The 11,487-nt window shown below is 38.9% G+C and overlaps 1 pseudogene across 3 annotated transcripts in view; it reads right to left on the bottom strand.

Annotated features, from left to right (window-relative positions):
* Positions 1–11,466, bottom strand: part of BTNL12P (butyrophilin like 12, pseudogene) — a 73,965-nt pseudogene extending 62,499 nt beyond the window's left edge. For all 3 annotated transcript variants that reach the window (NR_187255.1, NR_187254.1, NR_187256.1), the window contains exon 1: positions 11,152–11,466. The product of NR_187255.1 is annotated as a butyrophilin like 12, pseudogene, transcript variant 2 (transcript). The remainder of the gene's footprint in view (positions 1–11,151) is intronic.

The raw sequence follows: 11,487 nt of genomic DNA, 5'->3' as shown, positions 1-11,487 counted from the left end.
CTTCCTGTTATCTATTTAAGATTTTTAAAAAATCTGCTACAGTCCATCGAGTCTATCTATGATACATCATAATAATAGCAACTTTACATCAAATGTTTACAAATGCCAAATCTAATCTATAAAATGAGCCTATAAAGTAGGTACTACTATTATCTTCATTTTATAAGTGAGAAACAAAGGCAGAAGGAAAATAAATAATTCATCCAGGTTACACAGAGACAAGACTCTCACTCTGTAGGTTAGCTGAAGCCTGTACATTCCACCTAAACTCTGACCTGACAAACCTCTGCTATGTCACCCGCACACCATGGGAAGCCACATCACCCAGGGCATCTACCAAAACAGGACGCTCATGGGCTGATGAAGCAGCTGACTTTCAGAATATTATAGGAACTCTCTTTCTAGAGCCTATTAGACGCTGAAAAATATGTGCTCTGTGGGTTGAACCGTAACAGATACAGAAATCTTCAGAAGAAAAGAAGGACAAACGAGTAGCCATTCCAGCCAATGACCAAATAAAGCATTTCTGCGTTCAGTGGGACAAGTAGTAAGATTCTTTGCCAAGTCTATATACTCTATGAATCTGATTAGTGATTGACATCATCTTCTGATTTAGAAAATATCTCTTCATGGTACATGTAGTAAAATATTTTAAAGACATATCTAAAATAATATAAATTTTAAAAGATAATACGGCAGATAGCAGCTACTAGAGCTATAGGTCTTTTTTTTTTTTTTTTTTTTTTGAGACAGAGTCTTGCTCTGTTGCCCAGGCTGGAGTGCAATGACGCAATTGCGGCTCACTGCAACCTCCATCTCCAGGGTTCAAGAGATTCTTCTGCCTTGGCCTTCCCAGTAGCTGGGATTACAGGTGTATGCCACCACGCCCAGCTAATTTTTGTAATTTTTAGTAGAGATGTGGTTTCCCCATGTTGCCCAAGCTGGTCTTGAACTCCTGGCTCAAGTGATCTGCCCGCCTCAGCCTCCCAAAGTGCTGGGGTTATAGGCATGAACCACCACGCCCAGCCTATCATTAATAGAGACAGAGACTATAGTCAAATGTCATGGGAAAAAAAAATTGTAGAAATATAATGTCTTTTCAATTCAGTAAAACTTTATTACTATTTCTAAGATATAGAAGCTTTTCAGCCGGGCGCAGTGACTCACGCCTGTAATCCCAACACTTCAGGAGGTCAAGGTGGGTGGATCACCTGAGGTCAGAGGTTTGAGACCAGCCTGGCCAACACGGTGAAACCCTGTCTCTACTAAAAATACAAAAAATTAGCTGGGCGTGGTGGTGCATGCCTGTAATCCCAGCTACTCAGGAGGCTGAGGCAGAAGAATCACTTGAACCCAGGAGGTAGAGGTTGCAGTGAGCCAAGATCGTGCCATTGCACTCCCGCCTGGGCAATAAGAGCAAAACTCTGTCTCAAAAACAAACAAACAAACAAACAAACAAACAAAAAAACAAGCCATGCATGGTGGCTTATGCCTGTAATCCCAGCACTTTGGGAGTTTCAGGCAGGTGGATCACGAGGTCAAGAGATTGAGACCATCCTGGCCAACATGGTGAAACCTCATCTCTACTAAAAATACAAAAATTAGCTGGGAGTGGTGGCGTGCGCCTGTAGTCCCAGCTACTTGGGAAGCTGAGGCAGGAGAATCGCTTGAATCAGGGAGGCAGAGGTTGCAGTAAGCCAAGATCGTGCCACTGCACTCCAGCCTGGTGACAGAGTGAGACTCTGTCTAAAAAAAAAAAAAAAAAAAAAAAAATTTTTCATCATTCTGAAAGACATAAATCCTAAAGCCTTTCTAATTCCCCCACCCCAGTCAGTTATGATCTTTGCTCCTCAGCACTTGCACTACATTTTCTATTGTTACATGACACTCTCATTTAATAAAGCTTACTTTTATTTATCCTAATAGTAGCAGTTTCACTGTAAATAACTTTTTGAAAAAATAGAAAAGAATAAAGAACATTAAAATCCCTTTTAATTCATCACCCAGACAGCCACTACTACCATTTTAGAGTATTCCAGTTTTTTACATGTGTACTTTTTCAGAAAACTCAATTTGTATATACAGTTTAGTGACTAGTTTAATTTTTTCCTCATGACACTATTTTGTGAGTATTTCTCCTTCATTAAATATTCTTATAGCCTGGTCTACTTTGTCTTGCAGTTATTTATATGCCTATCTAATCAGCCCTGCTAGACTATAAGTTCCCTAAGCGCATGGCTAGGTCCTCTTTGTCTTTCATATATCCATCATGGTGTTCTACAAGTTGTAGGCACCCAATAAGTATTTGTTGAATTAACTGAATTGAATTGAATTTGGTGTAAGATTCTTACAAAGTTTCACTTTATAACAGGAACAAGAGGCCGGGTGTGGTGGCTCACACCTGTAATCACAGCACTTTGGGAGGCCGAGGCGGATGGATCACCTGAGGTCAGGAGTTTGAGACCAGCCTGGCCAACAAGGTGAAACCCCATCTCTACTAAAAATACAAAAAATTAGCCAGGCATGCATCGTGGCGGGCTCCTGTAATCCCAGCTACTCGGGAGGCTGAGGCAGGAGAATTGCTTGAACCTGGGAGGTGGAGGTTGCAGTGAGCCCAGATTGCACCACTGCACTCCAGCCTGGGCAACAAGAGTTAAACTCCATCTGAAAAAAAAACAAACAAAACAAAAACCAGGAACAAGAAAAAAGAAAAACAACAAAGACAGAAAAAAAAATCATATACTACTAAAGACAAGTATAAACTATCCCAAAACAGAAAATTCTAGCAGTGCACACAGATTTTGCATTGTACCCTTTTCACCTCTGGTTTGTAGAAAAACAATGAGAACTCTAATGAACCAGCTCTAGGTGGCAACAAAGTGTAAAGGGAATGTAGATACCTCAACACTTCAGTTACATTGTCAGTCATTTGACTCTCCAGTTTACAAACACAGTCAACAATTTCTCCCCAATAAATTGTCTCTTTATCAAAAGAGCTTACTTGTATTACAGCTGGTTCCTCTGATCCACCAGGTGAGAAGCAAGTGAGGTGGAGTCAGCATGTCTTTGAAGGGACACTTGTTGATGTCCCCAGGGAAAGTGCTTGGTGATACTGTTATTACCAAACTGTTGCTATAAAAGCTCAGCAAAGAGCTCCATGAGACTTAATATTTCAATGGCTGTATTTGTTAGCTAAAAAAAGTGTTTGCAAGGTATTATGGGAGAAGAGTGGAACAAAAGGAACTCCATAATTTTTCAATGTTGGGGAATTATTCTGCACCTATTTTTTCAAAGTAACATATTTGAAGAATAATTAAATAACATGGGAATAATGCTCACTATACAACTTTTGGTAAAAAAATTAAAATAGAAAACTTAATATACATATACATATATGTATGATTTCAACTTTGTGGGAAGAAATATGTACACATAGGAAAAGAAAGAAATACGCCAAAATGTAAACCATAGTTGTTTCTGGATGGCGAGAGTGTGTGTGATTTCAGTTGTTTTCCTTTCATATCTCTGAATTTTCTAAAGTGACCTTTTACATTTACATTAAAATAAATACTTTGTAACTGAAAAAATTAAGAAATGAAGAGACTGACTTTATACACATAATGTGGTACAGTGAGCGACAGTACAGGAAGGAGAGAGTGAGATTTGTTCTTTACTCTCTACTTCTTAGGGATAAGCATGGTTTGTATCTCCTGTTTGAAGCCTTTTCCATTACCCTGGAGGCTCAAGTTCAGCAGTGGCCAATTCTTTATTAGGGAACCCTTCTCTCTCCAACCCCACAGCACATGGGTTACATCTGGGTCTGAGCTGGGTTGACCTAGTCCTGACACTCAGCACAGTCTAGGTAAATGATAGAGAAGGGTTTGAAGGAACGCTTCCCTTGGTAAAGAGACTTATTACAACAGGGTAAATAAGAAGAAGACAAGAATAGGAGGCCTGTTGCTGGGAATGGGTGCCAGAGGCAGCTTCTCCCTAAGTTCCTCACCCCATCAGACTATGAATGAAGCAGTTAGTTCCTGGTTTTGCATCTCCAGGTCCTCTCAGTTTCTCAAATCACTTTTAGTGGCTGAGTGAAGGAAACAACTATGCAGTTTCAAAATAAAGCTATATCCATTAACACAACGTATTGAAGAATTTTTGTTTTGGATTTGTTGTTTAGCCCTGGTTTTGTTTTGGTTTTCTCAAGAAAACAACTGGAATATAACGGAATGAAATAATTATGACCAGTTTGTGTCACTTCTCGAATTCATACTATGGGGGCTGAGGCTTGACTTACATTTGACTTTCACCTGAAGCAGAGGAGGAATATCTTGATGCTAGCACAGTATTGAGAAACCATGAGGAATACTTTGTACTCAGATATAAGACTATTTCTACAGGTGCCACAATCCACAGACTCTCCCAAGCCTTGCAGTCTTCGTGAAAAGACTGCAAGGCTAATAAAGAACACAAGTTAAGGAAATGGGATCTGGAGCTTCCAGTGAGGGCAGAATCAGAGGTGATCTCCTACCTAGTATTCATACCTCTTTCTCCAAGGCCTAGACACACCTATCATTTCAAAGTCTACTACTCTTCCTCTGTGCTGTATCTTAACAGTACACCTTAGATTTTTGGGGGCAAAGTTAAAATTTTAAATATTTTCTCCCATAATTATCTAAAGCATATCAATATTTGTCTATTCTAACCATCAGCACTAAGCATGCCAACCAAACCAGACCCCTTACCATTTCCCAAATATATGCTATAATTTTCTCCTTTTTGCTATGCTTTGTAAGAAATATTTTCTTTTTTCCTTCAATTTTGTATATTTCATCCCAGCTCTATCCAAATCCCATTGTCCTCTGAAAGCTATCCTAACTGTGGTAGCCTAAATGGTCTTTTTCCTCTGAACTTTGATAGCTTTTGGTTATGTTTCTGTATGAGTTACCAAATGTTATTTTATATTTTAGTTACTTTGGGTTCATGTTTTTAAAAATAACTTTATTGATATATACTTCATATATTTTCCTATCATACAATTTACTTACTTAAAGTGTACAGTTCAATGATTTTTTAGTAGTATATTCATAGTTGTACAACCATCACCACAATGAATTTTAGAACAATTTCATCCTGCCAAAAAGAAACCCTGTACTCATTAGCAACCACTGCCCATTCTCCCTTCCCTCTAGCTCTCGGCAACCACTAATCTACTTTCTGTCTCTAAAGATTTGCCTATTTTGGAGGATTTCATATAAATAGAATCATACAGTAGGTGTTCTTTTATGACTGGTTTCTTTCACTTATGTGTCAGAATAATGTTTCCAAGATTCATCCATGTTGTAACATGTATCAGCACTTCATTTCTTTTTGTTGCTGAATAATGTTCTATTGTATGTAAATACCACATTTTATTTATCCTTCATCAGTTGGTAGAGATTTGGTTTGATTCTATTTTTTGACTATGATGAAAAATGCTGTTATGAACACTCATGTGTAAGTTTTTGTGACGACGTATGTTTTCATTTCTGTTGGGTATATACCTGGGAGTAGAACTGCTGGATCATATGGTAACTATTTTTTTTAACCTTTTGAAGAACAGCCAGACTATTTTCCAAAGTGGCTGCACCACTTTTTCATCCCCAGTATTGGTCTATAAGGGTTCCAATTTCTCTACATCTGCACCATCACTTACTAGCTGTCTTTTATATTTTAGCCATCTTAGTGGGTATGAGTAGTAGCTCACTGTGATTTTAATTTGTATTTCCCTGATGGCTAATGATGTTGATCACCTTTTCATGTGTTTATCAGTGATTTTTATATCTTTTTTGGAGAAATGTCTACTCAGATCTTTTGCCCTTTTTAACTTGGATTTCTTTATAGGTTCATGTTTAATCTCTGTTACCAGACAGTAAATCTCTTGAAGGCAGTGATTGTATTTGAACAAAATCATGAACATTTTACTATGTTGTTATCCAGCACACCATAAATATGTGACTTGGCAAGTTAGTTAATTTTCCCACATCTCGGTTTTCTTGTCTGAAGAATGATGATAATAATATGTACCTTATAGAAGGGATGTGAGGATTAAATAAAAATAATCCCTAGACAGAGCCCCTAGGACAGTGCCTGGCACTTATAAAATAACCAATAAACATTACCTATTATTCTTACTAGTTTTTATACCTTGCAATATATAGTACAGTTTCTTACACACAGTAGGTACTCAATGTCTATCTGTGAATGAATTAGGGATTAAAATTATTTTAGCTCATTTATAGTTGTAGTTATGACTAGCTATCTATGAAAAGGTCAAACAAGCCAATATGGAACCAACATAAGCTGAGCAAGTGGATAAAATTTAAAAGATAGTCACTTCAACTCCCAAAACAATCAATAAGGAAAACACCGCACCGGGTCTAAGATAAACCCCTAAATGGAGTGAATTCAACGGGAGTAGCCATGAAGATGCTTTTATAGCTCTAACAAATGCTTAGTCAAAGACTCCAAAGATATCCAAAGATGTCATTATTTGAATCTTCAAAATAAAAGGGACTAAACTTCGATAAAGAAGCCCGGAGACATATTTCAGGAGACATTTTAATCTATCAATTCTACAGCAATAGCAAACTGTGGCAGAGGAAGAACTGCTGAAAATCAAACTGCTAGACCTTATATCACAAAACTGGCTGAAGACTTACTCTTGGTCCCTATAAATATAGAAGCCAACTCCTCCTCAGGATCGATTGAAAGACTATAGCTCCTTCTACTTTCAATGCTGCCCTAAACATAGAGTAACCGGTTTTTGAGATTTGGACAATTGGCAGGGAGATGGCAGAACTTTAAACCATCCTAGGCCAATATGGATAAACCAGACTGAGAGGGATTTAGCAGTGGAAATAAATCAAAACCTTGCATGCTAGCCTAAGCAACTGGCCTTCATCTGATAAGCAATGAGGAAACATGGGGTAAAGGCAGGAGGAAAAGAGATGGGTTGAAATCATGAAAGCAGTGCTTTAGAAAGGACAGTCTGAATCAGAGGTGGCTAAAATAAAGGTAGGAGTGGGTTTAGCAGGCATGAGGTCCTGATATACCTTGAAGACAAAAAAGACAATAAGCATAAATCTTGGGCAAGAGAGGTCAGACCAACCTCCCAAATCCTAATCCCTAAGACACAGAATGGCCCAGAGCAGAGGACCATGGTTTATGTAGGAAATTGTGCAATCATGAGTAAAGACTGTTCTCAACTTTGTTTTTCTACCCTGATCATGATATAACAAGTGGCAGAGAGCAATAGTTATAACATTAACTACTATTACAGCTAATAATAATAATTGCCACTACTTACAGAGTATTGACTTTGTGCTAGGTACTATGCTAAGCACTTTAGATTTTCACCTTACAATGACCCTATGGAACAGATAATATATTTTATAATACAGATGATGAAATCAAGCCTTACAGAAATTAAGTAACAAAATCAAGATTAAGTAAGAGAAATCTGATTTCCAGAGGTGGGTTTTGAAACCTGTATCTGATAAAAACCAAAGCCCACTCTTTTAACTGCATCAGTATGCTGCCTCCTAACTAGAATGGTTTATGAAAGGATTCTCTACTTAGATTATTTCTTGTTTTTTCTGCAGTCAGTAGGTCAATAGGGCCTATTTAAGTAAGGTATGTCAAAAACTATTCATGCATTTATTGCGTTCACTCACTATTTGCTGCCTACGATGTCTTGGGGGATACCATGGTAAACAGATGCAGTTCCTGCCTTCAGGAAGCCTAGAAAGGGTAGCTGAAGGAGGAGGAGAATTCATTTGGTCTCCTAAATGTCCAATACTATTCCAGTCAAGAGACTTATCTTGAAATGTATTCAATTGGCCAAGCCTGACATAATGGTGAAGTTCTGATAAGTGGACAAACAGGCCATGTACTTTCCCAGTTCCCTGTAACCCATGTTCCTTTCCCTATGTAACATATTCTGTTGTCTCCTCTGTCCTTTACCTTCTCCAGTGCCTCCACTCCCCTCTCAGGCATCTCTTTCAGCTAGCCACAGATGAACCCCATCACTGTGGGGGTTCACAAGCCACCACAGCTCTTTTACCTCCCAGAAAGTTTTCAGTATTCTCCAGGCTGACTGGAGGGTTTCAAGGGCCACTGTAAGATTGGGGGATGCTGCTTCATTTAAACCCATCTGGCTGCAGTGAAAAGAGATACATCCACGTTAGCTAAGATAGAGAAGGGTTATTATACTGGGCAGTAAGAAGATGCTCACATTTAATCCAGCTGTTAACAAGTTGGCCTCAGTGAAGCTGCACCTGGTGCGTTACTCTGGATATGAGGCAGTCCTAGATTTCAGCAGCAATATTTTATGAATCTTCACACTTATGTTTCACAATTGACAAAAAATTAGCGACATTCCCCATGTCTGCTTCTTTCTGATTCAACTGTAATTTCTTTCTGATCTGCCACCAACTGGAATTTCCCTCTGGGTTCTTTGGATTAAATTCCTGGGCGAGTGAGAAAAAAAAATAATCTCTGCTTCTGTTTGGGCAGTGCCTTATAAGTGACAGGCCACCAGGCAGTCTGTTGATGGGCTTACCTTGGTCAGATGTCCACTATGGCTCCGATCAACATAGGTTCTAAAGTGACGTCATATGATACAAGGACAGCACCCCAAATTATGTTTGGTTCAGGTGCCTCTGCTCCAGTTTTGTGTATGAAGCCCACAAAACCCCCAATCCTTAAGACAAGTGCCGTATAATTCCAACAATCACAATATTTCAAAGTACCATCAATGGATAGATGCCACTTGTAATACTGACACTATTTGGAAGATCTTATTGCTTTGAATCATTTAAAACAAAAAACAAAAAAAACTAAGCTCAAGAGAGCAGTGTAGTGTAGTGGAAAGAACATAGACTTTGGAGCCACACAGCCCTAAGGCTGAATTTCTAATTAGCCTTTCACTCTCTGTGATAGCAGACTTTACTCATCATTTTTGAGCTTGAGTTCCCTCATTTCTAAAATGCGGATAAACATTCTTATTTATAAATGTGGCGATAAGTAGAATTACATTTTTTAAGGTTTGTGATAAAAGGTGTTTGATAAATAAAAATTCCTTTTCAACTAAAACTTAATATTTACAAATATATTCAGTGTTTCAAAAGATATAGAGTACCTGTACCTACTGTGGAGCAGGCACTGTTAGGGGATGGGTATATAATAATAAGACAGTTCTTTTCAAGGACTTTACAATTTACTCTAATTATTCAAAAAATAAGTCCACTAACTAAGAGATATATCCAACTCAGTCAATCCAAATTATTTGCAAGAAATCATACTAGGCAATGGGGGATGGTGGTGGTGTGAGGGAGAATCCAAAAATGAATAAAGATAGTCATTCTATGTAAGTAGGAACCTACTCTAATTGGACATGAGATGTGCATTTTACACTGAAATTTACAGTTTCCTTGCCAATAGCTTCAATGAGGCAGAAACACAGTTTTCAACTTTTAGAAAGCAGTTTCTCAGTTATCTTAGCTGCTCAATGGTCTGGTTACATTTATCCTAAATTCAACAACCAAATAGTTGGAGACTTTATTAAATTAAAAGCTCCTAGTACAGCGTTGCAAGCAGTAGGTTTTCAAAATTTGTCAGGTTACTCATTTCTTTACCTACACCACTTTTTTTCTACTTCCTTTCCTTTATTCTATATAATGTGGAGTTCCCATACTAAGTATTTTTTTCCAAACTTTCTACTAGGAAGCCTCATTTGCTATTATTGAGGTTATCTTTTTCCCTTTAATTCCACTGATTTGTAATCTTACCTCTTATTTTATTTTTCTTGAGACAAAAAAAAAAAAAAGTGCAGGGCAGTGGCACAATCATGGCTCTCTGCAACCTCTACCTCTTAGGCTGAAACAATCCTCCCAGCAGCCTGTGTAGTAGTTGGCACCACAGGCGAGCGCCACTAGGCCCGGCTAATTTTTGTATTTTTTGTAGAGACGGGGTTTCCCCATGTTGGCCAGGCTGGTCTGGAACTCCTGACCTCAGCGATCTGCTGGCCTGGGCCAAAGCACTGGGATTACAGGCATGAGCCATGGCACCTGGCCAACTCTTATTTCTGAATTATGTTTGAATCCTTTCTTTTTCTCATTTTACATTACGTTCCTATCACTTTTTAAAATCCAAGATAAATATTTTAAAGCAAAAACAACTATTATTTTAAATATTTGTTATTTTCAGATATTAGGACTACTGTTAGAATGCTGGCTTGACCCAAAATAAGGTCTGTTCTTAAAAGGACTCTTTCAAAACAGATGACTCATCAGTTTTAAAAAGCATTCCACCATTAGCTTAAACATACAAAGTACGTCCTTCTAGGACTACCACTCAATCAGAAATTAAAGTTTGACTGCAGAGTAAAGGCATAGTTTCTCATACAAATAAATGACTGGCAAGAAAAAAACGACTTTCCTTTTTTAAGGAGGAAAGCAATTTAATGTCGTTGATTATACACGACCACTTAACTTTCTTATGTATAAGCTTTGTTAAAAAAAAAAAAAGCTAAGCATTTTTTCTCATTTCTATTCATTACTTTTCAAAATCATAAAATGTAATTTCAGAAAAGATTGAGTTTGGGACAAGGATGAAAAATACGTTAATTAGAATTACTAAATTAGTACCAGATCAGGATTTTCCCAAACTGTAGTTTTGACCTGCAGTACAAACTCTATGCTTTGAGTTTTTAAACTAACTCATTAATTTGAGCTATCTCAAATCATGCAACCGCCTCCATATCTCCCAAATTCACTCCTAGACACAACTTACACCAAAAGCCACGTATGTGCTTCTACAATTAAAACGGGCAAAACGTCCTTACTTGATACACATTTCTGCCTTAAAAAAGAAAAAAATAATTCTGTGGGGCAAGTAGTGCGGGTGTTACCCATATTTTATGCATGGGGCAACTGAAATCAAATCCCTGCCCTAGGCTATTTAACAGCGGAACCTCCAGTAAGGGTCCGGGGGTTCTGAGGTCTAGTCCAGCTGCGTTCACATTTCGAGGTCGGCTTTGTTAATCCTCGGACTTTAAATTCCTGCGGTTTTCTGTCATGGAGCTAAATCACCACTAAATTACTGTGTGCTCACAGAGTCCTGCAGACACGGGCCCCACTTTTAAACTGAAAAACAAGCGGGGGACGGGGGGGGCACGTGACGCGCGAACCCTCAAGGCGAGATAACCGAACATCCTTGGGCTGTTTGCCGAGGCAGTCTTGTAGCCCTGGAATAGGTCACCAGGCTCCAGCGACTATAAAGCGCGGCCGCCGAAACCCGGTCCGGCTCAGATGACAATTTGGCAGCCTCTGGGTGTCTGCCTCAGTTCTGCGCAGCCCATGCTGCGCTCTTGCCACTCCGCGCCCCGCGCCTCGTGAGGCAGAGCCCGCCCCGGAGCGGCGCGCGCACCCCAGGACTCGCGTCGCGTGA

The sequence above is a fragment of the Homo sapiens genome, chromosome 3, assembly GCF_000001405.40.
Source record: "Homo sapiens chromosome 3, GRCh38.p14 Primary Assembly".
In the NCBI taxonomy this organism is placed as follows: domain Eukaryota; kingdom Metazoa; phylum Chordata; class Mammalia; order Primates; family Hominidae; genus Homo; species Homo sapiens.
The sequence above is the reverse complement of the archived record's forward strand: the minus strand, read 5'-3'. Positions and strand labels throughout refer to the sequence as shown.